Source organism: Homo sapiens, chromosome 1 (genome assembly GCF_000001405.40).
Source record: "Homo sapiens chromosome 1, GRCh38.p14 Primary Assembly".
In the NCBI taxonomy this organism is placed as follows: Eukaryota; Metazoa; Chordata; class Mammalia; order Primates; family Hominidae; genus Homo; species Homo sapiens.
In genome coordinates, this window is record NC_000001.11 from 225,893,456 (window position 1) to 225,917,939 (window position 24,484).

The 24,484-nt window shown below is 49.3% G+C and overlaps 12 annotated features.

The window, feature by feature from the left end:
• Window positions 2,812-3,575: an enhancer, noted in NCBI's record as "H3K27ac-H3K4me1 hESC enhancer chr1:226083967-226084730 (GRCh37/hg19 assembly coordinates)". NCBI's record gives its function as "activates a minimal SCP1, AML or CMV promoter by ChIP-STARR-seq in primed H9 embryonic stem cells {active_cell/tissue: H9 hESC(primed)}" and the evidence as "EXISTENCE:reporter gene assay evidence [ECO:0000049][PMID:30033119]".
• Window positions 2,812-3,728: a biological region, named in NCBI's record as "H3K27ac-H3K4me1 hESC enhancer GRCh37_chr1:226083967-226084730".
• Window positions 3,519-3,728: an enhancer, noted in NCBI's record as "active region_2634". NCBI's record gives its function as "activates an Ori minimal core promoter by ATAC-STARR-seq in GM12878 lymphoblastoid cells {active_cell/tissue: GM12878}" and the evidence as "EXISTENCE:reporter gene assay evidence [ECO:0000049][PMID:35858748]".
• Window positions 3,869-3,978: an enhancer, noted in NCBI's record as "active region_2635". NCBI's record gives its function as "activates an Ori minimal core promoter by ATAC-STARR-seq in GM12878 lymphoblastoid cells {active_cell/tissue: GM12878}" and the evidence as "EXISTENCE:reporter gene assay evidence [ECO:0000049][PMID:35858748]".
• Window positions 5,865-6,627: an enhancer, noted in NCBI's record as "OCT4-NANOG-H3K27ac-H3K4me1 hESC enhancer chr1:226087020-226087782 (GRCh37/hg19 assembly coordinates)". NCBI's record gives its function as "activates a minimal SCP1, AML or CMV promoter by ChIP-STARR-seq in primed H9 embryonic stem cells {active_cell/tissue: H9 hESC(primed)}" and the evidence as "EXISTENCE:reporter gene assay evidence [ECO:0000049][PMID:30033119]".
• Window positions 6,628-7,390: an enhancer, noted in NCBI's record as "H3K27ac hESC enhancer chr1:226087783-226088545 (GRCh37/hg19 assembly coordinates)". NCBI's record gives its function as "activates a minimal SCP1, AML or CMV promoter by ChIP-STARR-seq in primed H9 embryonic stem cells {active_cell/tissue: H9 hESC(primed)}" and the evidence as "EXISTENCE:reporter gene assay evidence [ECO:0000049][PMID:30033119]".
• Window positions 12,981-13,754: an enhancer, noted in NCBI's record as "H3K4me1 hESC enhancer chr1:226094136-226094909 (GRCh37/hg19 assembly coordinates)". NCBI's record gives its function as "activates a minimal SCP1, AML or CMV promoter by ChIP-STARR-seq in primed H9 embryonic stem cells {active_cell/tissue: H9 hESC(primed)}" and the evidence as "EXISTENCE:reporter gene assay evidence [ECO:0000049][PMID:30033119]".
• Window positions 17,710-17,769: an enhancer, noted in NCBI's record as "active region_2636". NCBI's record gives its function as "activates an Ori minimal core promoter by ATAC-STARR-seq in GM12878 lymphoblastoid cells {active_cell/tissue: GM12878}" and the evidence as "EXISTENCE:reporter gene assay evidence [ECO:0000049][PMID:35858748]".
• Window positions 17,780-17,829: an enhancer, noted in NCBI's record as "active region_2637". NCBI's record gives its function as "activates an Ori minimal core promoter by ATAC-STARR-seq in GM12878 lymphoblastoid cells {active_cell/tissue: GM12878}" and the evidence as "EXISTENCE:reporter gene assay evidence [ECO:0000049][PMID:35858748]".
• Window positions 17,970-18,159: a silencer, noted in NCBI's record as "silent region_1863". NCBI's record gives its function as "represses an Ori minimal core promoter by ATAC-STARR-seq in GM12878 lymphoblastoid cells {active_cell/tissue: GM12878}" and the evidence as "EXISTENCE:reporter gene assay evidence [ECO:0000049][PMID:35858748]".
• Window positions 21,839-22,783: an enhancer, noted in NCBI's record as "H3K27ac-H3K4me1 hESC enhancer chr1:226102994-226103938 (GRCh37/hg19 assembly coordinates)". NCBI's record gives its function as "activates a minimal SCP1, AML or CMV promoter by ChIP-STARR-seq in primed H9 embryonic stem cells {active_cell/tissue: H9 hESC(primed)}" and the evidence as "EXISTENCE:reporter gene assay evidence [ECO:0000049][PMID:30033119]".
• Window positions 22,784-23,726: an enhancer, noted in NCBI's record as "H3K27ac-H3K4me1 hESC enhancer chr1:226103939-226104881 (GRCh37/hg19 assembly coordinates)". NCBI's record gives its function as "activates a minimal SCP1, AML or CMV promoter by ChIP-STARR-seq in primed H9 embryonic stem cells {active_cell/tissue: H9 hESC(primed)}" and the evidence as "EXISTENCE:reporter gene assay evidence [ECO:0000049][PMID:30033119]".

A 24,484-nucleotide genomic window follows, 5' to 3' on the forward strand; every position in this document is an offset into this window, starting at 1 on the left:
ACCACCACACCCAGCTGAATTATTATTATTATTATTTTGAGATAGAGTCTCACTGTGTTGCCTAGGCTGGAGTGCAGTGGCAGGATCTCGGCTCACTGCAACCTCCACCTCCCAGGTTCAAGAGATTTTCCTCCTCCAGGGTTCAAGAGGTTCTGCTGTCTTAGCCTCCCAAGTAGCTGGGATTACAGGTGCCCACCACCACGCCCGGCTAATTTTTGTATTTTTAGTAGAAATGGGGTTTCACCAGGTTGGCCAGGCTGGCCTCGAACTCCTGACCTCAGATGATCTGCCCATCTCCGCCCCTTCAAAGTGCTGGGATTACAGGCATGAGCCACCGTGCCCAGCCAAAATTTTTTATGCTTTGTAAAGAGGAAGTCTTGCCGTGTTGCCCAGACTGGTCTCGAACTCCTGGGTGCAAGTAATTCTCCTGTCTCAACCTCTGGAGAAGCCGGGAACATAGGTGTGTGCCATCATGCTCAGCTTATATTTCTGTTTTTGAGAACTGTTTGTTCATACCTTGTGTCAATTTTCTACTGAGTTGTTTTTTCTTATTGATATGTAGACACTTTATATATCAGGGACATTAGCCTTTTCTCTGTTATATGCATTGCAAATATTTCTCCCATGTATAATTTGTGTTTTATACTTTGTTTATGCTGTTTTTTTTTTTTGTCATACTCTAATGTTTTTATTGAATTATGTTAAATTCACAGATTAGGAAGCACTGGCATTTTCTCATCTAAGAACACAGTTTGCCTTTCCTCATGGTTTGTCTTATGTCTTACATATAACTTGTTAAAACATCTTATAAATAACTTGTTAAATCAACTCCTGGGTAGTTTGCTTTTCATTTGTATTGAAGATGGGATTTTTTTATACCATCACACTGCTTAAGTGTTATTTGTGTCATTAAAGACTTGATTTCTTTTTCTTTTTCTTTTTTTGAGACAGAGTCGCTCTGTCGCCCAGGCTGGAGTGTAGTGGCACGATCTCTGCTCACTGCCACCTCCACCTCCCAGGTTCAAGTGATTCTCCTGCCTCAGCCTCTGAGTAGCTGGGATTACTGGCACACACCACCACACCTGGCTATTTTTTATTTTTAGTAGAGACAGGTTTTCATGGTCTTGAACTCCTGACCTCAAGTGATCCACCCGCCTAGGCCTCCCAAAGTGCTGGGATTACAGGCATGAGCCACTGTGCCCAGCCTGAAGATTTCAGGCTGTGGTACCAATTGGTACATAGAAGTCCTCTTCAAACTTCTTACAAACAATAAGACATTCCAGTAAAGTGAGTTCAAAATTGGTGCATAGAAGACTTTACTGGAACTTCTTATTGTACCTAACAGTTCTTAGTTGATTTCTTGCATTTTCTAGGTACAAAATCTTAATATTTGCTACTAATAATTTAATTCCTCTTTTTCAAAGTTTATTCCTCTGGAATTTTTTTTTCTATTGTCTAACTCCATTTAGTAGTTTTTCTAGAACAATATTCAATAAAAGTGATGATAATGGATAGCATTGTTTTGTCCTGGTTTTAATAGGACTCCTTTACTATTTCCCCATTGAGTATGAGCTTTACGGTTGAGCTAAATACATTTTATCATGTTAACGAAGTATCCATAATAGAATTTTTTAAAAATCAAGAACGGGCTGGGCGCGGTGGCTCCCACCTGTAATCCCAGCACTTTGGGAGGCCGAGGCGGGCGCATCACGAGGTCAAGAGCTCGAGACCAGCCTGACGAACGTAGTGAGACCCCGTGTCTACTAAAAATACAAAAATTAACTGGGTGTAGTGGCGCACGCCTGTGATCCCAGCTACTTGGGAGGCTGGGCAGGAGAATTGCTTGAACCCAGGAGGCGGAGGTTGCAGTGAGCCAAGATCGCACCACTGCATTCCAGCCTGGGCGACAGGGCAAGACTCCATCTCAAAAAAAAAAAAAAAAAAAAATCGAGAACGGGCCAAGCATGGTGGCTCATGCCTTAAATCCTAGCACTTTGAGAGTCCAAGGCAGAAGGATTGCTTGAGGCCAGGAGTTCAAGACCAGCCTGGGCAACATAGCAAGACCCCATCTCTACAAAAACATTTTTAAATTAGGTGTGGTGGTGTGCACTTAGCTACTCAGGAGGCTAAGACAGGAGGATCACTTGAACCCAGGAGTTTAAGGCTGCAGTGAGCTATGATTGTGCCACTGCACTCCAGTCTGGGTGACAGAGTGAGACCCTATTTCTAAATAATAATAATAATAATAATAATAATAATAATAATATAATGGATGTTGAGTAAAACCAATTTGATGAATATCTGGAGCAGTGAGAACTCTCAGATATCACTGGTGAGAGCGTAAAGTGCTACACCACACTAGAGAACTTGGCAGTATTTACTACAGTTCAAGATACCAGGTAAACTTAAGACCCAATGGCCAGGCACCACGGCTCATGCCTATAATCCCAACACTTTGGGATGCTGAGGTATGAGGATGGCTTCAGGCCAGGAGTTCAAGACCAGCCTGGGCAACATAGCAAGACCTCATCTCTACTATAAAAAAAATCAGCCAGGCATGGTGGCACACACCTGTAGTACTCCCAGCTACTCGGGAGGCTGAGGTGGCAGGATTGCTTGAGCCCAGGAGTTCGAGGCTGCAATGAGCCATGATTGCACCACTGCAATACAGCAGCCTGGGCAATAGAGCGAGACCCTGTCTCTTAAAAACAAAAAAGGGGCCGGGCACAGTGGCTCACGCCGCTAATCACAGCAATTTGGGAGGCCGAGGTGGGCCAATCACCTGAGGTCAGGAGTCCGTGACCAGCATGGCCAACATGGTGAAAGTCCATCTCTACTAAAATTACAAAAATTAGCTGGGTGTGGCGATGGGCACCTGTAATCCCAGCTACTCGGGAGGCTGAGGCAGAAGAATCACTTGAACCCCCGTGGCGGGGTGGGGCACAGAGGTTGCCGTGAGCCGAGATCACGCCACTGCACTTCCAGCCTGGGCAAGAGAGTGAGACTCCATTTCAAAAAAAAAAAAAAAAAGAAAGAAAAAAGGCACAGTCATTTCATTCAGTTGGACAGAAATGCATGCATAAGATTGATGATACAGCAGCATTGTTTATAAGAGTCCAAACTGAAGCAACTCACCAAAAATATCCATCGACACTGTAAAGCACAAATAAAATGTAGTATAGTCTTATGGAATACTTTATGGCAAAGAAAATGAACCGAAACTGTCTACAACATTGGCAAATGTCACAAGCAGAACATTGAACAGAAGCCAGACATGAAAGATGAATACGATTCCATTTGTTTAAAATTCAAAACCATGCAGAAGTAGAGTGTGTAGAGATGGATTTGTTTGCTTTTGTGGGAAGGAAAAAAGTCATTTGCTAATTAATAGTGATAATTCTGCTCCTCGTTTCTAATATTTACACCTCCGATTTTCTTCTACAGTTACTCATTTTGATTATTTGCAGTCATTGTATACAAACTTTTCAGGAAATACCCTCAGGCATGCAGAGAGCTGTAGGTGGAAATTATAAGAGGACCTGTGTCCCCTATATTCAGGGACCTATCCCACCAACACTCTGCCCTCCTAGCCCCAGGGCCTCATTGGGAAGTCTGTCTGCTGCCTAAGCGACCACAGTCCAGCCCAGCGTTTCAACACCACCCAGTGCTGGCAGCAACAGAAGCAAGTTGTCCCCTGGCAGATGAAGTAGGTGCCACTGGCTTCCCAATCTCCCTAGATCCAGGCCTGCCCTGTGTGTAGGGAGCTGCCCCCAGCTGCCCAGGCTCATGCAGTGAAGTTTGGTTTGTTTGTTCTCTTTGTGGCTTAAGTCATACCTCAGCTCCACCTATCAGTGAACCACTTCCTGTTGGGGAAAACACCTAGACGGTGTTTTGATTCCACCACATCTCTGTGGCAGCATAAACGTGCATACTGCCTTGTGCCATAGCAAAAGTGATTTCATGATTGACGGCTGCTCCTGCCACTCTCTCCACAGCTGACACTTTAGCCTCGACTTCCCTCCTTCCACGCCTCCTGAAAGCTGCTACTTCCCAGCATCTCCATCCAAAAACACCTCCTTTCCCTTTTCAAAGAAAAGTCTTTCCAGGATTGAGAAATGACAAAGAAGGCCGGGTGCGGTGGCTCAAACCTGTAATCCCAGCACTTTGGAAGGCCAAAGTGAGCAGATCACCTGAGGTCAGGAATTCGAGACCAGCCTGGGCAACATGGTAAAACCCTGTCTCTACTAAAAATACAAAAAATCAGCCAGGCGTGGTGGCGGGTGCCTGTAATCCCAGCTTACTTGGGAGGCCGAGGCACGAGAATCCCTTGAACCTGGGAGGCAGAGGTTGCAATGAGCCGAGATCGCATCACTACACTCCAACCTGGGCAATAGAGCAAGACCCTGCCTCAAAAAAAAAAAATGTTCAAAAAGGAAAACACTCACATAAACCAGTCCCTGTCCTCAAATCTTGCCTTGAAGAAGGAAATTCTAGAAGCCATTCATCTCCATAAGCTCCTCTTCCGGCCTCCCTTTCTTTTCAATTACTTAAGCAAATATTTGTTGATGATTCTGCCCCTTTTCAGTATCCTGAATGAACCTGAAGAGACAGGGGCAACCTCAACAACAGGAAGTACAGGTGCAGTGTGGGGACCTGGGCCAGGCAGGCACTCCGCAAAGGCGAGTTCCAGAGCCCACAGGTGCCCGAGCTGCCCTTGCAGTGGCTGGTTCCACAGTCACCTTCAGGAAGCCTGGTTTCTCCCCTCGCTTCACTTACCTCTCCTTTTCTCCTTCGCTGTCCCCCATGCCCTGAGAGGAAGGCATTGTTGACATTTCATAAAGGAGGCCCAGAGCATCTAAGATCCTTGCCCGAGGTCGCAGATTGTTAACGAGAGCACTGTAGGGGGGCAGGGGAGGAGCAATCCTAGCTAGGTGACCTTGGACAAATTCATCATCTGCCAGTGCCTCAGCTTCCTTGACTATGAGATGGGGCATCAATTCTATCTATGCCCCGAGTGCACAGTGAGGATTACATGCGTGCCAGGCAACCACACGGAGCCATCCTGGGCAACAAGGTCCAGCCACCACTGGGGCCTGGCTGCAAAGCGTCCTCTCTCGCCTTCTTTCGGAATCCAGCCACTCCCGGCTTCACCAACTGACTTGTGGACGGCCTATCAGAGGCAGGGTCAGCGACTTGTCCAGGGCCACACAGCTGGTGAGTGGCACACTGGAGACTGAACTGAGAACTCACTCTTGCCAGGAAGGGGCTGGATGACCTGAAACATGGGTCTTTATTCCTGCCTCGTTCCCCACTGTCCTCCATGGGAGTCTGAGCTACTCAAGGACAACAGGGAGGGCCCACACAGGGCATGTCTGGAAACCCCAAGGAGCCACATGGGCCCTCAGGCCTGGGGTCAGGGAGGTTGATGGTGTGGGTTGGGGCAGCCCAAGACACCTGGACTGGCCTTGGGGTATTTCCTGAGCACTCTCAGTAGTGTCTGCCCCTGCCCAGGGAGGGGACAAAAGCCACCCTGGAGACCCCAGATGCTGGGCTCCGAATTAGAAGCCACTCCACTCCTGGACTCTTAGCTTTGCTGACCTCAGAGCCTAGGCCTGAGTCCAGCTCATCCCCACCCATGGAGGCCCCACGATGACCTCTGACCTCTGTGTTTTCCCATGGCCCTCACCTGGCAACCTGGCCTCTGGTTGGAGTCACATCCTGGCCTATCAGGGGCAGGAGGGTGGCTGAGGGCACAGGGTCCCATTCCTCATCTGCCCTCCTACCTGGTCCTCCTCCTCCTCCCTGCATCATGTCCTCAAGTTCAGTCCCAGGGCTGGGCCCTCAGTGGGGGTGGTGAGCTTCCTCTCGTTCTCCCATTTCCTGCCCCCTGCTGCCCTCCAGGATGGCAGATGTGGCTTCAGGATGACTTCACAATTCCTGGCCTTTTGGGCCCTATCTGACCCTGCAGACCAGCCAGATCCCCCACCCCCACCCACCCACAGGCCTAGGAAGCCAGGCTCCTTCCTCTGCATGACAAAGGATGGGGCTGCCCTCCCTCCTGAGGATGCAACAGCCCATTGTAAACAGTCTCCCAATCCACATTCGCTTTCTTCTGGCTGATTGCCCAATTATTTTATTTCCCCAGCAAAACTCTTGAACCCATTGGAAATCCACATTCAGGAAAGAGGTCTCTGTTTGCAGAGGGATAATAGGTCTGGGGGCTTTGCCTTCAGTCTGCCCCTACTGATCTCCCTTGCCCTGGCCCACACCCAATCAGTCCTGTGAATTAATAGTGTCTTACCCTCTCTCCAACCCCTGGCCAGAAGGGTCCCAGGGTGTGAACTGCGTGTTACAAACAGCCAGAGGTCAAGAAAAGAGCCTGCTTCTCTTTTCTCCTCTATACCAAGTGCCACTTCACATGCCAGTCATTCACAGCTGCCTCCTGGGCTCCCACTGCCAGCCTGGCCTCTCCAATGGGCACCAGAATCATCTACCCGAATGCCCTTCCACTGCCACCTGTTCCCATCTCAGTACACCCAGCCAGGTCTCCAGACCTGGGGCTCATTCTGTTGTTTTTTGTTTTTGTTTTGTTTGGTTTTTGAGACAGAGTTTTGCTCTTGTTGCCCAGGCTGGAGTGCAATGGCATGATCTCAGCTCACTGCAACCTCCATCTCCGGAGTTCAAGAAATCCTCCTGCCTTAGCCTCTCAAGTAGCTGGGATTACAGGCGTGTGCCACCACACCTGGCTAATTTTATATTTTTGTAGAGGTGGGGTTTCACCATGTTGGTCTGGCTGGTCCCGAACTCCTCACTTCAGGCAATCTACCCACCTCGGCCTCCCAAACTGTTGGGATTACAGGCATGAGCCACTGCACCCAGCCCTGGGGCTTATTGTTGTTGTTGTTGTTGTTATTATTATTATTATTATATTATTATTATTATTATTATTATTATTTGAGACAGAGTCTTGCTCTGTTGCCCAGGCTGGAGTGCAATGGCGAGATATCGGCTCACTGCAACCTCCACCTCCCAGGTTCAAGCGATTCTCCTGCCTCAGCCTCCCAAGTAGCTGGGATGATAGGCGCATGCCACCACTCCTGGCTAATTTTTGTATTTTTAGTAGAGGTGGGGTTTCACCATGTTGGTCAGGCTGGTCTCGAACTCCTGACCTCAGGTGATCCACCGGCCTTGGCCTCCCAAAGTGCTGGGATTACAGGCATGAGCCACTGCACCTGGCCAGGGCTCATTCTTGAATACTTCCTATCCCACATCCCTCAGAGTCAGTCCCCAGCAGGTGTCTTGGTCTCACTTCGAAAACACATTTTATATCCATTCGTGACCCTCCATCACCTGCCAGGGCAACTGCAACTGCCTCCACCTGCTCGCATTCTCCATCCTCGGAGTCAACAGTGGTCTGTGACAAACTTTAATCAGAAAACATATTCCATTAATCAAAGCTCTCCAAAAATTAACTCAAAATGGATCATACACCTGCATGTAAAACACAAAACTATAAAACTCCAAAAAGAGAACATAGTAGAAAACATAGATCATCTTGAGTTTGGCAATGACATTTTTTGACCCATGAAAGGAATAATTGATATAAAGTTGGACTTCATTAAAATGAACCTCTGCTTTGCAAAAGACACTGTCATTCCCTCAGTTATACCTTTCAAGAAGAAAAAGAAATAGACACTGTCAAGAGAATGAGAAAAGCCGCAGTCAGGGAGAAAATATTTGGAAAAGACATATCTGATAAAGAACTGTTATTCAAAATATACAAATAACTCTTTTTTTCTGTGTTTTTTTGTTTGTTTGTTTTTTGAATTTTTGAAGCAGGGTCTTACAGGGTCTTACTCTGTTGCCCAGGCTGGAGTGCAGTGGCACAATCATGGCTCACTGCAGCCTCAACCACCTGAGCTCAAGTGATCCTCCTACCTCAGCCTCCCAAAGTGCTGGGATTACAGGGGTGCACCATTGTGCCCAGCTAATTTTTGTATTTTTTGTAGATGGGGTTCAGGCCCATGTTGAACTCCTGTCTCAGGTGATCCTCCTGCTTTGGCCTCCAAAAGTACTGGGATTACGGGTGTGAGTCACTGTGCCTGGCCTGAAGAACTTGTAAAGCTCAACAATAAGAAAACTAACCACCCAATTAAGAAATGGGCAAAAGACCTGGACAGATACCTCATCAAAGAAGATATACAGATGGCAAGAAAGCATATAAAAAGATGCTAACTGGCCAGGCACGGTGGCTCATGCCTGTAATCCCAGCACTTTGGTAGGCCGAGGTGGGTGGATCACCTGAGGCCAGGAGTTCGAGAGCAGCCCGGCCAACATGCCAAAACCCCATCTCTACTACAAATACAAAAAATTAGCCAGGTGTGGTGGTAGGCGCCTGTAATCCCAGCTACTTGGGAGGCTGAGGCAGGAGAATGGCTTGAACCCAGGAGGCGGAGGCTGTAGTGAGCCGAGATCACGCCATTGAACTCCAGCCTGGGTGACAAGAGCGAAACTCTGTCTCAAAAAAATAAAACAAAACAAAAAACAAAACCAAAAAAAGATGCTAACCATTGGCCGGGCGTGGTGGCTCAAGCCTGTAATCCCAGCACTTCGGGAGGCCAAGGCGGGCGGATCACGAGGTCAGGAGATTGAGACCATCCTGGCTAACACGGTGAAACCCCGTCTCTACTAAAAATACAAAAAAATTAGCCGGATATGGTGGCGGGCGCCTGTAATCCCAGCTACTCGGGAGGCTGAGGCAGGAGAATGGCGTGAACCCAGGAGTGGGAGCTAGCAGCAGTGAGCTGAGATGGCGCCACTGCACTCCCAGCCTGGGTGACAGAGCGAGACTCAGTCTCAAAAAAAAAAAAAAAAGAAAGATGCTAACCATCATTTGTCATTAAGGAATATGTCAGTGGGGAACAACAATGAACTATCACTACACAACTATTAGAATGGCCAAAATCCAAAACATGGACAACATCAAACACTGATGAAGTAACAGGCAGAGTAACAGAAACTCTCACTCGTTGCTGGTGGGTATGCAAAATGGCAGTCCCTTTGGAAGATAGTTTGGCAGTTTCTTACAAAACTAACCATACTTTTATCAAATGATCCAGCAATCACGCTCCTTGGTACTTACCAAGTACCATATGAGCTGGAAACTTATGTCCTCACAAGAACCTGCACGCAGATGTTGATGGTAGCTTTATTCATAATTGCCAAAACTTGGAAGATGTCCTTCATTGGGTGAATGGGTAAATAAACTGTGGTACATCCAAACAATGAAATATTATTCAATGCTAAAAAAAAAATGAGCTGTCAAGCCATGAAAAGACATGAAGGAATCTTAAATGCATACTACTAAGTGAAAGAAGTCAATCTGGAAAGGCCATATATATATGATTGCAACTATATGATATTCTGGAAAAGACAAAGCTATGGAGACAGTAAAAAAATGTGTGGTTTCCAGGGGCTAGAGAGGAGGAAGGGATGAACCGGCAGAGCACAGAGAATTTTTAGGGCAGTGAAACTACTCTGTGTGTTACTGTACTGGTAGACACATGCGTTTATACATTTGTTCAAACCATCAAATGTGCGCCAAGAGCCAACCCTAATGTAAACTCTGAACTCTGGGTTATAATCATGTGTCTGTGGCCGGGCGTGGTGGCTCATGCCTGTAATCCCAGCACTTTGGGAGGCCAAGGCGAGTGGATCACCTGAGGTCAGGAGTTTGAGACCAGCCTGGCCAACACAGTGAAACCCCATCTCTACTAAAAATACAAAAATTAGCTGGGTGTGGTGGTGGGCACCTGTAATCTCAACTACTCGGGAGGCTGAGGCAGGAGAATCCCTTGAACCCTGAAGGGCACAGAGGTTGCAGTGAGCCGAGGCTGTGCCACTGCACTCCAGCCTGGTGACAGAGCAAGACTCTGTCTCAAAAAACAAACAAACAAAAAAACAAACAAAATGATGTGTCTGTGTAGGTTTATCAAATTTAACAACTGTACCAGGCTGGTGGGGACATTGATAGTGGGGGAGTTTATACATATAGGGGGAGAGAGTATATAGGAATTTTTTGTGCTTTCCTCTCAATTTTGCTGTGAACCTAAAACTGCTCTAAAAAATAAAGTCTACTAGAGAAAAAAAACAAACCTCCAGTGACTTCTTATTACACGTTGGATAAAATTCAAATTTCTTCCCATGTCCTTAAAGCCCAGCTGACCTGGGCCAGGTTTGCCTGCTCCACCTCAGGTCCTACCTCTCCTCCTCTCCTCACTTGCTCCCTGAGAACAATGCACACAGGCCTCTTTACTCTCCCCAAACGTGACATGCCAGTTGCACCTCAGGGCCTTTGCACAAGCTGTTCTCTCTACTTGCAAGGGTCTGTGCCCAGATCTTTGCGTGTTAACTTGTTCTTATCATTCAGGATCGGATGTCACCTCCTCAGAAAGGCCTCTCTTATCCATGCATACATATCTACATGTTCCTTCCTGCCTCTACCAATTACTATCTCTCTTTATCATTCTGGTTTATCTTCCTCATAGTACTTAGTACTATCTAAGATTTTCTTCTCCACTTCTTTAACCATCTATTGACTGCCTCCCCGCTGGAGCGTTGCTTCCAGGAGCTCAGAAAATTTGTCTAACCTGTTTCCTGCTATGTCCCTGTGCCTAGAACAATGACCAGCACAATGAGGTATCATGGTAGACACTTCATCAATATTTGTCGAATGAATTAAAAGATGGGCATTCTCACTGTGCAAGCTTGGTGAACTCTGGATTTCAATTCTTTTGTAAAATGAGGTAGATAGACGAGATGATTCCTTTCAGCTCTAAATCACTAGGAGAGAGAAAAGGGGTGCTTGGGACTTCTCTCTGGATTAACCCCCATTGGTGCTAAATGCTGCCAGGCCTCTGCCAAGGAAGGTCTCCCAGGACTGAGAAGGGTAATCAGTTTCCCAACCAGAAGTCAGCTGTCCAGAGCCCTCTGAGCCCCAGGCCCATGCCTGCAGGCCGGATTGTTTCTCAGTCAGCAATCCTTGGTGTGGACTGGGAAGTTTCTGTGCCATCCAAGGCTCAGCTCTGGCAAGGAACAGGATTCAGAGTCCACACAGAACACCAGTTAGTTCTCCCCTCTTGGGCTGACCAGCATCTGCCGGCTGTGTCTTAATAAGAAGTGGGCTCCACTCCATCTCCTTCTCTGGAAATAAGCTATTATTTATTTATTTATTTATTTATTCATTCATTTATTTAGAGATGGAGTCTTGCTCTGTTGCCCAGGCTGGAGTGCAGTGGTGCAATCTGGGCTCACTGCAACATCCGCCTCCTGTGTTCAAGGGATTCTCCTGCCTCAGCCTCCCGAGTACCTGGGACTACAAGCGCCCACCACCATGCCCAGCTAATTTTTGTATTTTTAGTAGAGACGGGGTTTCACCATGTTGGCCAAGCTGGTCTTGAACTCCTGGCCTCAAGTGATCCACCCGCCTCAGCCCTGTAAAGTGCTAGGATTACAGGCGTGAGCCACCGCGCCTGGCTAGCTTTTAAGGGTTGGTTTCCCTAGACCCAGGGTGGAGGGCTCTGGCCACCCAGGAATTCCCAGAGCATCTTCTGACAGGAAGGCACCTAGTGCATTGTTCATGGACCTTCCTGTGAGGGGGCAGCACCAGTGGCCTGTCCTCCTCAGCCCAGTGACAGCAGGTCCTTGCTGAAACCAGCCCATGCTTCCAGCTCCAGGGAGCTCCCAGCGAGTCCAGATGTTGGGAGGTTGGGGAGGAGCACAGCTTGCAGTGTCAGACCAGGGAGACCCCTGGGGTGGAGTCTGGAGACCTGGATTTGGCAGGGCTTTGTCACCGACTCATAACCAAGACATTCTGCACCTTGGGTCTGAGGAACAGAGATCCTACAATTTCAAAAACAGTAAATGTCTCCAACCTTTCAGAGCAAGAAAGCTGCACAGTGTAACTGAGAAGGGAGGTGGATCAAGCTATTTGGGGGAAGCTAGGAAGAGGGTCCTTCCTCGCCCTGAGTCAAGGCCCATCCTTCTGGTCCCAGGGCCAGACCTTGCACTTGCCTGGACCCATGGCATAGATCAGGCAGGGTGGAGGGGGCACCATTCATTGAGGCAGGGAAGGGAGGACAGGCAGGTGCGGGAGTGGGGAGTGGAAAGAAGATTGGACAGGGACAGTCTGAAGAACTGATGGGAAGTCCAGGGGCCACATCCAGGACTCTGCAGAAGGTCAGATGTGGGGTCTTTGGCAGGAGGTAAGAGAGCAGGGAGAGTAGATGGCCAGGCACAGCTACAGAGGTACAAGAGCAGAGATGATACTGAGGGGAGCACAGAGGAAAAACTCTGGGAAATAACTAGTGGCTAGAGGTTTGGGGAGAGAAGGGGAAAGCCAGAGGGGACAGAAAAGAACTGAGAGAGGCAGGAAGAGACCCTCCCCACCCCACCCCTGGACAGCCACAGACTGGCGCTAGAATCAGGGACAGGGAGGTAAGGAGGATATTTTTATGCCGTTACAGAAAAAGATGAAAGCTCAGAAATGGAAGAGAGGTCGGAAAATTTGCAAAGCCACGCATGTGGGGTGAGGACTGCTCAGAGATCAGAGAGGCTTGGTGCTGGAAGGGACCTGAGAGGAAGCTTTGGTCCAACCGCTCATTTTAAAGAGAGAGAAACTGGGGCCTGCGGAGGTCACCCCACTGTAGATGGTGAGCCAGCCTGGAGTCAAGCATCTATAGGTTAGAGGATCTAACCATATCTCCAAGGTCCAGGCCTCATGGTGCCCCTGGAGCCCCTTGTTCTCCTTTGGGAGAACAAAAATCAAATTAAAAAGCTGATTATTTTCTGGCTCAGCCTGAGAGGCTCTGCTACCTTGGTTCTGTAATTAAAAATGAAATAATACATAAAGCGAAGGAGAGAGCTGGTCCCCAGGGCTGCCGTGGGACCAGCCCTCATTTTCCCACATAAGGCTTCAGCTTCCTGCCCTGGGTCTCCAAAAGCAGACGGTGATATGGGGGACAGGTTGAAGGCTGGCCACATCAACTTTCAGGCCAGGAAAGCCCCACCTCAGATCAAAGCCAAGGCTGCTGTGCCCCTGGGAGGGAGCATTATGTGAGCCTGTTTGTGGGTCAGCATTGACAGGGCAGGCCTGGGGAGGCCTGTGTGACTTGAGCATGAGCTGAGGGAGGCTGCAAGGGGATTGGACATGGCACAGGGCAGTGAGCTGTGTGGCCTTGGGCAGCCCATGACCCTCGCTGGACAACGGGGAATTTGACCTGCACCACGTTCGTGTCCCTCCAGGGTCTCTGGATCTAGACTAGGGCTGTTTCCGCTAATTAGGAATCATCTCGGGTGTGTGTTTTATTTCCACTTTCCATGTTTACTGTTGGTGTTTCCATAAGAAGTTTCCAAGATGTGTTAGTTTGGTGTCAAATAAAACAGAAGCATCCTATGGTGTGTGTGTGTGCGTGTGTGTGTGTGCACATGCGTGTGGGAGCATGTGTGGGTGTGTCCATGTGTAAGTGTGAGGCTGTGACTGTGGCAGTGTGTATGATCCCTTCCCGGACCACGAGCTGACTGAGGGCAGCACCGAGGCCAAGGCTGGCTCTGTGGCTGCCCCATGCCCACGGAGTAGGCTCCTGAGGGTCCTGTGACATGGTTTTGGATTTTGTTAATGAAAGATGCTGGTCCCTGGGAAGGTTTGATCCTCCTGCTTGGTACCTGGAAGCCCCCAGAATGTGTCCAACAACAGAGTTCAGCCTTTTCCTATCTTACAGCCCAAGGTCCTTTGGCCACCAGATGGGAGCCGCCACAGGCCGATTCCAGACAGGCGGCAAGGAGAAGGAAAAGAACAAAGCTGGCCCCTTCAGAGGTGGGCAAGATGAGGAGTGCTCACAGTGGTTCACAGTGGGGGTTGAACTGGGGCTCTGGGTCCTGTGGCCAGGGGTTCAGGGGTGGTCGTGACCGCCTTTGTTCCAGGTGTGGCCTGGGCCTGAAGCAGACTCTGTGTGAGGAGTGGGAGGGCTCCCTGAGGAAATGGCTCCCCTGCAGCCTGGATTTCCAGCTGCTCAGCCCAGCAGGGAAGGGGTCAGTGCGGCCTGAGCCCTGCACACCACAGCTCTGGGGAGCGGCCTGTATTCTCCATGATGAAGACACCACAGCCCTGGCTGGGGATGACCAGCGGGGCCTCCACAGCCACACTGACCTTCGTCTGAAGTAGGTCTGCCTGACGGGTGCATTTGCCATGCAGCCTCATTCTTCTCCTGAGCATCCTCCTATCCAGGGGTCTGGGTTCAGGAACGTGGCCCTCCTCACCCTGCCCCTCTCACCCAGGCCAGCTGGAGGCTCCACTCCACCCTTGTGCTGAAATCCTCCCCCTGCTTCCCCAGGCCCTCTGTCTCCTTCTTCTCCCTCATCCCTTGACTCTTCATGATCTCCAGGCTGCTTGACATGGGCTGAATTGTGGACCCCCAAAATTCATATGCTTAAACTCTAACCCTCAGTACCTCTGAATGTGTCTATTTGGACATAGGGCCTTTAAAGAGAAAATTAAGTTAGATGAGGTCACTAGGATGGACTCTAATCCAGTATGACTGGTGTCCCTGGTCTTGAACTTCTAGCCTCCAGAACTGTGAGAAAATAAATTTCTTTTTCTTTTATTTTTTGTAGAGATGGGGTCTTGCTGTATTGCCCTGGCTGGTCTCAAACTCCTGTCCTCAAACAATCCTCCCACCTTGGCCTCCCTCCCAAAGCACTGGGATTACAGGCATAAGCCACCATACCTGGCTTTCTTTGGTAGAGACAGGGGTCTCACCATGTTGCCCAGGCTTGTCTAGAACTCCTGGCCTCAAACAATTCTCCTACCTCAGCCTCCTGAGTAGCTGGGATTATAGGCATGAGCCACCACCGTGCCAAGGTTGACAAACACATTTCTGTTGCTTAAGCGACCCAGGCCTGGTCATTACAGTTTTGCTGTAGCAGCCCAGGAATGTGATGTGCCACTCTGCCTACACTGATGTGGACTCAGCTCCAAGTCCACAGTCACAGTGCCAGGTTGCAAACCCACATCTGTGCCTCCAGATTCTTCTGAGGCCCTGCCTCTTTCCCTACGGTCTGAAAATGGGGGGCCCACCTCCCCTTAAAGAGGAACTCCCGATGGCAATGGGGTTCAGCGCAGGCTCCAGCCATGCTGCTCATCTCATCTCGGCCCTGGGCAACCCCAATGAGCCTCATTTTTCTCATTTGTGAAAACGGGCGTCAGATAGAAACACGCACTGGATAGGGTTGTTTGTGGGGACTGGGGAAGGTTGGGGAAGTCCAGCTCCAGCTTTGACCTGTATCTGGCACTCCATGAACGCAGCTTTTATTTTTATTATTCCTCTCAAACCTATCCCCTTCCAGGATTTTCCAGGTCAGTTAATGGTGTCACCAAGCAGAAGCCTTGGCCTGGCTTCCACACCTGCTTCTCTCTCACCTGCCCTCATCTCATGGCTCAACAATCCTCATTAAATACCTGCTAAACAATAGCCATTGTGCTCTGCACTGAGCAAACAACAGGAACCCTGTAGACGGTGGAGGTTTTAGCTTATCTGTGCATTAAACAAATTGAATTTTAAACAAGCAATTGATATTAGGGGGATACACTGGGGGAAGCCAAGGCTCTTTAAGCCTTGTGGATTACCCTCTTCAACTGGCTTCCCTCATCTTTTATACCCAAATGGCTGCAAGACTCAAGGCACTGTTTTCCAACATTTCTGGAGTTTTCTTTCTTAAGCAAAAATTAGGGCTGATCCCTCCCTACTTAAAAACCTCTTAGGCTGGGCACGGTGGCTTATGCCTGTAATCCCACCACTTTGGGAAGCCGAGGCAGGCGGATCATCTGAGGTCAGGAGTTCGAGACCAGCCTGGCTAACATGGTGAAACCCCATTTCTACTAAAAATACAAAAATTAGCCAGGCGTGGTAGCACACACCTGTGGTCCCAGCTACTCAGGAGGCTGAGGCAGGAGAATCGCTTGAACCCAGGAAGCAGAGGTTGCAGTGAGCTGAGATCACACCACTACACTCCAGCCTGGGCAACAGAGCAAGACTTTCTCAAACAAAACAAAACAAAACAAAACAAAACAAAACAAAACAAAACAAATTAACCTCTTGCTGCCTCAGCTGCCTTCCACTGTGCCAAGTCCAGCATCTTCATTGTTCAGACTCACCTGTTGTCCAGTCACACACACACCCAGCACACACTCACTCTTCACTCCATCATATGAAGGACTTTACCAACACTGGGCACTGGTTCCCGCCACCCTACCTGGGCACAAGCAGTGCCCATCACCCAGGGTGCCACTCCTCAGCACCCTGGTCCTTTAACACTTCTCCAGCTGGAAAACTCCCCTCATCTTTTCTAACCCATGTCCAACCTGACATTCTCTGCCAAGTCTTCCTGAACACCTCCTCCCTTCTCCCAGTGCTCCTCACTGCCACCATTTATTAACTTGTCATATGGAATTTGCAATCACTTCTTTGTATCCTGATTTCCTCCACCAGACCAGGAACTCCAGTGGGGAATAAAGTGATCAGGTCTGATTGTATGCGTAGCACCCGGTCTGGCCCACAGTGGACACTCAATAGGTGAGGATTGAAATAAATGAATGAATGTGTGCATGCAAGCAGGGCGGGTTGAGGCAGGTGCTTTTTGCACCTCACCCCACTGAATTTTTACACAGCAGAGGAAGTTCAAGTTTATAGGAAGTCCAGCTTCTCTCTCTATCCTCCCCACCAGCCTTACCTCCACAATGCCCTGAGGCTTCTCTTTGCCTGGAACTCCATTTCCCAGGGCTGGCCCTGAATGTGTCGGGATATTGACACCCTAACATAGGGGGTCCTGGTCCATGAATAATTTGCATTTTATGTGCCCATGATCTAAATAAATATATATTGACTGGTAATTACAGTGTTTCCTCTTCACCTTCTTTCTGGTCTATCTCTTTGGACACCTAGGAATGTTGGCTGCAGGCCACAACCAGCTCAATTCAATTTAACAAGGATTCATCAAGCTCCACAGGCAGTGGCCCCACACCCAGCTGAGGGTCAGCATCTCCAGTGGAACCTCCAGAGATTCTGATTCCAAGCTTTGGGGTGGGAGATGAGGGTCTGTCACATTCAGAGAGGCAGAAAAGACAAGGAGAAGGCATTTCTGGTGGAGAAAATGAGGTGACTAGTAACAGTGGGTTGTACAGTTAAGCACAGGTCTGGTTTTCAGATAGAAAAAGCATTTTGAGGAGTCAAGGGTAATAAGGTTGGAAACAGAACTCAATAAATGCTAGTTTCCTCTCTATTTCCCTTAATTTAAAAAGGCAGATGATCAATTAGGTTTGGGAACCAGGTCTGGAGCCAGCGGTGCCCTGGGGAACAAGGACCCTGAACCCTCCCAGAGTGGAGCCTGACCCACTTCCGGTGCTGGGTCCTGTCTTTCCAGTTAACCTCTCCAGGCCTCAGTTTCCCTAACAGTTATAATCAACACCACAGCAACCTCTGGTTATTAGCGCTGTCCTGCCAGACACCAAGCCCAGCCTTTATCTCATTGAATCCTCATCTCAGCCCATGAGGTGGGGATCCTTCTCACCCTCACTTGACAGATAAGTTCTTGGAGGTTGAATAACTCACCCAAGGTCACCTGTCGTTAAAGTGACTGACTCTCTAGGCCTCGTCTTGAGCAAGATGGGTGTATTTCGATTCAGATGGCCCACGTCAGGCTGGACACGCGGGCCCCTGGTGAGGCCTGAGTCCCTGGCCGGGGAGCTCCGCTAAGCTGCCCGACCTCCCATGTGCAGAGGGCGCTGCTGGGGCCACAGGCGAGGCTGCGTGGGGAAGCGGAGCGTGGATTCCAGCGCTTTCCCCTAGATCCAACTCTGAGCTGCTTTGCTATGTGAACTCAGGAAATGACCTGCCACAACTAGCAGGTGGGCACCCAGCCGGGGCTGGGGTTTGCACCCGGTTTCTCTCCAACCAGGCCGGGGCTGGCGGCCTGGGGAGTTCGGCTGTGGCGCCTGGCGCCCTCTGGCGGCGCGGGGAGGTCCTCCTCGGCCGCGGGCGGCCGGGACCGCTTGGAGCCGCGAAGGGACGTTTTTTAGGAACCACTAGCCAGGCGCGGGGGCTCACGCCTGTAATCCCAGCACTTTGGGAGGCCTAGGCGGGCGGATCACGAGGTCAAGAGATAGAGACCATCTTGGCCAAAATGGTGAAACCCCGTCTTTACTAAAAATACAATGCTGTCCTCAAGGGTCTTCTTAGGAACTCTTCTGTGAGCTGAGTGGGGAAAACGGGAAAGAAGACTCGAGTCTGGAGGCTGAGATTTTGACACCGGCTTCCCCAGTCATCTTGGATGGGTGCCTTGAGTTCTTCCTATGGGGGACGGGAATGGCGATGGGGACAGGGATGGGGATGCCCCCTCCCTACGTGCCTCCAGATCGCCGTGGGACTCCTGCTGGATGCGACGAGTGACAGCCCCTTGTCAGCCCAGAAGCGCTACTATAGAGCAAAGACTTGTGTTCATGAGAAAATAACTGACAGTCCAGGATGCCAAGGACCAATGGCCCAGGAAGGAGCTGGGGAGAGAAGAGGCAGCCCCGGAGATGGGGCGTGAGCAAGACAGCGGGGCACTGGGGAAGGCCGTGGGGTTCAGCAGAAAGATACACTGTTTAGGGCAAAGGGAGCATTATGCGGGGATCCGGGCAATGGCATAACTTTATAAATGCTCATTTCTTGTTCCTTTCCCTTAATTCAAAGAGCAGATAGTAATGATGGTTATATTTGTTTCTACAAAACAAAAAAATTAAAATATTTGCTTCTCTGAGTGGGTTTCCCAGTGACTCAGGCAAGGTCCCCACACCACTGCAGGCTATATGGAGGCCAGTCCCCATCCCCCCCTGTTTTTTGGGCCTTCTTCCCAGGCACCTATCCAGGGATCCCCACAGCATCACCCTCTGCCTACATCTCCACCTTCTCACCTAGCCTAGTTTTGGGGGATCATTCCTTGTTTTCCAGCCAGAGGACCCCTCAGTGAGAGCAGTGAGGGCAGCAGTGCCTGCACATGGAAGGTCAGGTCAGTGCACTGTAAAACGGGTCTTGGTTTTAGACATACCTGGATTGGCACCCAGGCCTTTCCCCTCACTGGCTGTGCTCCCAACTTGTCCAAGCCTGAGTTTTCCAAATAACTACATCATAATTATTAAAGATTAAATGAGATCATGGGCCTTGCATGCGTAAAACCAGATCTGGTGCATAAAAAGAAGACACGTGTTTGTTTTTAAAGCTTCTACGCCTCAAGTCATATATGTGAAGTTGCTTGACAAGGAGCATTGGCTGGGCTTCCCATCTTAGGAAAGAGGAAAGCTTGCAGTGTGTGGGATTGTAGAAGGGGGAGGGATTGTGTCAAAGCAACATGGTCACCTGCCCAGGGGCCTCCCGGCTGCACAGTGACCCAGGTTACCCAAAGGCTTTGCCCAAAGCAACTGACCACCCTGAGAGAAGGATGAGCAAGTATTATCTATTTCCCATTTTAATGAAATAATAAGTTGAAACCAAAGCAGACTAATGACTTACCTGAAGTCACCTGAGCAGTGAGGATTAGAACTCAGGCCTTTGCTCTTACTGTTACCAGAAGTTCATTAACTACACTGGCAGAAGGAAAGCAATCTTTATTGTAATTTAATTGAAAAGATACTACACATGAAATTCTAATTTCATATTCACATATCTTAGAATTCAGGGTGGAGCAGTAACTGAGAGGTACATACCCCCACTGGTTTCTTTTTGTTTTGTTTTGTTTTTTTGAGATGCAGTCTTGCTCGGTCGTCTGGGCCAGAGTGCAGTGGAGCGATCTCGGCTCACTGCGACCTCAGCCTCCCGGGTTCAAGTGATTCTCCTGCCTCAGCCTCCTGAATAGCTGGGATTACAGGCACCTACCACCACACTGGGCTAACTTTTGTATTTTTAGTAGAGACGGGGTTTCACCATGTTGGCCAGGCTGATCTCAAACTCCTGACCTCAAGTGATCCATCTGTCTCAGCCTCCCAAAGTGCTGGGATTATAGGCGTGAGCCACCACGCCGGACCCCACACTGGTTTCTCAGCCTCTCGTGGTCGCTCAATATCAAAGTACCTCAATTGACAAGTCTCTGATGTCCAGCCAAACCTCACATGCTCTGCTGCAGCCCACCAGCATGTGTTTTCAGTCACTTATTTTCAAGGAGGACAGAACATTTATCCACATAATCCTTCCTAAAATGGAAAACTGTTATAAATTTGATAACCATCCCAATCCCTTTTTACTTGAATATTCCTGAGGTACTTCCCTGTTACCTGAAGAAGCCTAAAGCTGTAAGAATTGGGAGGATGCCTCTGAAGTATCCATGTACTGAACAGGCTCTTGGGCAACACACGGGGGGAGGAGCAGGCACACTCATAGAGCACCCATGAGGCAAAGTGGCCAGGACAGAAACGTACTAGGCTTCCCCACATCCCAGCCAATCGGGCACAAGCACAGCCCTTCAGTGCTCAATCAACACCTGCTGATTGAATAAAAGAAAGTCAAAAACAAACCAGGGCCAGGCGCAGTGGCTCATGCCTGTAATCCCAGCACTTTGGGAGGCCAAGGCAGGCAGATCACCAGGTCAGGAGTTTGAGACCAGCCTGGCCAACATGGGGAAGCCCCGTCTCTACTAAAAATACCAAAAAAATTAGAGAATTGCTTGATCCAGGGAGGTGGAGGTTGCAGTGAGCAGAGATCTACACTGCACTCCAGCCTGAGCTCCGTGTCAAAAAATAATAAATAAGTAAATAAATAAACAAAAAAATAAATACTTTAAAAAACCAAACCAGGAATGACCAGGTCCAAGGACAGTCTAGGAGTTGCACAGAGTTTTCACCCCAATACACCAGAGACCTCGTTGGGCACTCAGGCAACAGCCCAACCTGACATTCAAGCAGAAGAGCTGTCATTCATTCAAGCATTTGTTCAGCTGTGTTTATTGGGTACCATGCACTAGGATTGGGAAGATGGCCTGCAGCCCAGCTCTCATGCTAAGTGTTCCTGCAGGAGTGTCCAAGACACAGCTCGAGGCCAAAGTAGGGCACACAGGACGTGCTCCCACCTTGACTGACCACGTGGGGCCACGCATCCTGCTTCAGTACCGCATGGCCAGGGCAGCCTGGCCCCTCTAAAGGCTGTCCAAATGCATTTTGTAACTAAGCAATCCCCTTATGTGATTCCTAAATCAATACTATACAAAGAGGTTTGTAATGAAAGGTCTCCCTCCTGCCCTGCCCCTATCTGCCACATTCCCACTGCCCCCCACAACCAGGTACTGTTTTAGTGGTTTCTGGTATATCCTTCTAGAATTTCTTTATCCAATTTTGTATTTTCCCCCTTTCTTACATAAAGGTAGTATACTACCCACACTGGCTTGGACCTTGAAAAGCGGGGTATTTCATTTTCAAAATGCTATGGACTTCATATAATCACAATATCCACTTCTGTGTTCCATCTAGTTTATTGGTAAAAGTGAATACAAGTCAAGGCTTTACAAGTATTTTGCTCAGATGTGCAGAAAGGACTAGCTCTCCTGCTTGAAACAGTGAAGGAAAGCGCAGCCAGCCCCTTGGGCTGAGGCTGACTCTCGGTGTTTCTTTGGAGAGCGTTGCTTAGTAACAGTTGCAGGGGACACGCACAGACAGGGGGATGAAAGAAGGATGCAGGAGATGAGGGAGGGTGCATTTGTTTTCTAGCATGCCCCACGAGTGGGAGCAGTGGGAAAAATCTTTAGATCTTTTAACCACCAAAATCATGCCGGCTTACTGCAATCAACAATCTAAAGTAAAATAAAGAAATCAAGAAATTAAGTGAAAAGTCAATCTCAATCCTACTTCCCCGAAGTAATGATCATTAATAGTTGGGGCAATAGTTTGCCCCATTTTATAGGAGAGTAACATGGAGGCAATAGGTAAGGAAGCGTTTTTCTGGGGTCCTAAGAGACACCCACTGGGAAATCGGGATTGGGGGGTACTTAAGGCTATGCTGCTCAGGGGTCCTGAGAAGAGGGCAGTGCAGGGAGCTGGGAACAGGGAGAGGGGGCTGGTTCCTGTGCGCAAGTGGCATCTGTTGCCTATTATCAGGAGCAGAAATCCTAGCACTTCTGCTCACTGAGTCTCGTAACTGGAGTTGCCAGGGGCAACAGCACAGTCAAGCCCGGGCTACTCCACTTTACTCATACTAGAAAAGAGCAGCGAACACAGCTTCAGTGGTGGGTGTTGGTCCCCATGGCCAGCAGGTCCCTCCCAGCGGTAACCCAGGGCCATGGGCCTGCACACACCTCTCTGTGCTGCAGCAGAAGGACCTTGCCCCTCCCCAGTGGGAACAGATATAGTGGTGGGCTTGGCCAGGTGCCATGTGATGCACACTTAAGCAGACTAAAGGAATATACATCAAGTCTAAACAGGAAAGACGCGCCCATGCAAAGTGACAAGTCCACCACAGGCTTGAGAACACTTTAGCTCTTTGTGAGGAATGTTCCAGGCCCATTCTCATGTGGCCTTTCAGAGGGGGCAGAAAGGCTGAGGCTGTCTTTCCCAACAGCACGCTCCCCTACTTTCAGTCCACTCCAGGCTGCCTTCTCTCGCTTCCCGTATTTGTCACATTGCGGTGTCCACATCTGTTCTCAGCCCTTGTACAACTCTGAACAAGGACAGTCTTTTGTTGTTCAGACAGGGTCTCGCTCTGTGGGCCAGGCTGCAGTGCAGTGATGCCATCTTGGCTCACTGCGACCTCCGCCTCAAGGACTCAAGCGATCCTCCTACCTCTACCCCGAGTAGCTGGAACCACAGGCATGCACCACAACACCTGGCTAATTTTTGCATTTTTTTTTTTTTTGTAGAGACGGGGTTTCACCATGTTGCCCAGGCTGGTCTCAAACTCCTGGGCTCAAGTGACCTGCCTGCCTTGGCCTCCCAAAGTGCTGGGATGACAGGCGTGAGCCATCGCGCTGGGCCAGGACAGTCTGACTGCCTAGGGCACACCCAGGCCTCACAGGGCACTGAGAGGAGCATTCAGCAAATCCTTAGTGAAAAGGCTGCGCTAACCCTCAATGCCAGCTCTTGCAGGGGTATCTGGTTGCTTTCCTGGTGGCTTGGACACCTGATGGGCCTAGAATGCAAGCTCTAGTGCCTCTGTCTGGGGCCTGACACACTGGGGGCTCTCTTGACCACCTCGGGGAGTTGCCAGCCCTCACTGACTGCCGGCAGCTCTGGCCCCAAGGCTCATCAGCCCTGTGAGAAGGTGGGAAGCTGGGAGGCGGAAGTCCTGGGTACTTCCTGGCCTCCCCAGACAGGCCTGAGGTCTTGGGGAGAGATGACTGGAAATTTTCTCCAAGGAATGGCCCTCTCCTCCTCTCCCTGAAGCAGGACCAGGGCCTCAACCACCCTCATTCCCATCTGGCCCTGATCATACCTGACTGAAGTTCAGAAGGTAAGGGCAGCAGTGCTCGGCAGGTGAGGACACATCTTAGCCAGGGTGACCCCGTGCACCAAGACATAAGATGGGGCCTGGCAGTCAGTAGGTCCTCAGTAAATGTATGTTGGTATATTTAGGCCTGGAAAAAGGGGTGGTCTTGCAGGGGATGGAGGAGAGGAAAATGCAGGCAACAATCTCTTGTCATCTAGGATGACTTGCCAGCAGGCCTAGCACAGAGAGGATAGGATTTGGTATCAGATAACAGATTTGAATCCTGGCACCACTTCCTAGCTAATTAAAACTTGGGCAGCTTATTTCATTTTTAAAAACATTATCGTGTATGATTTACATGCCATAAAATTCACCCACTTTTAAGTGTACAATTCAATGACCATATGTATGGAGCTGTGCAAACCATCACCGTGATCTTATTTTACATCATTGCCATGGCTCCAACAGAAACTCTGCGCTCTTCCCATTGCCACCACAGTCCCTGGCAACTTCTATTTCTGTCTGTATAGATTTGCATTTTTTGGACATTTCATATAAATGGAATCATGTAATACATGGCCTTTTGTGACTGGCTTCTTTTACTTGGCATGTCTTACAGGTTCATGTGTCTGTACTCGCATCTCTTTTACTGCTGAGTATTCCATTGTGTGGGTGTAACATATTTACCCATTCACCAGCTGATGACCAATTGGGTTGTTTCTACCTTGGGGCTACTTAATAACACTGTCATGAACATTCATACGCAAGTCTTTCTCTTCACTGTATAACTTGGAGCGAAATTGCTGAGTCATTTGTTAACTCTTTTTTTTAGAGGTAGGCTCTTGCTATGTTGCCCAGGCTGGATTTGAACTTCTGGGCTCAGGCCATCTTCCCTTCTCAGCCTCCCGAGTAGTTGGGACTACAGGCGTGCACCACCACACCCAGCTTGTTTAATCTCTTAAGGAAGTGCCAGACTGTTTCCCAAAGTG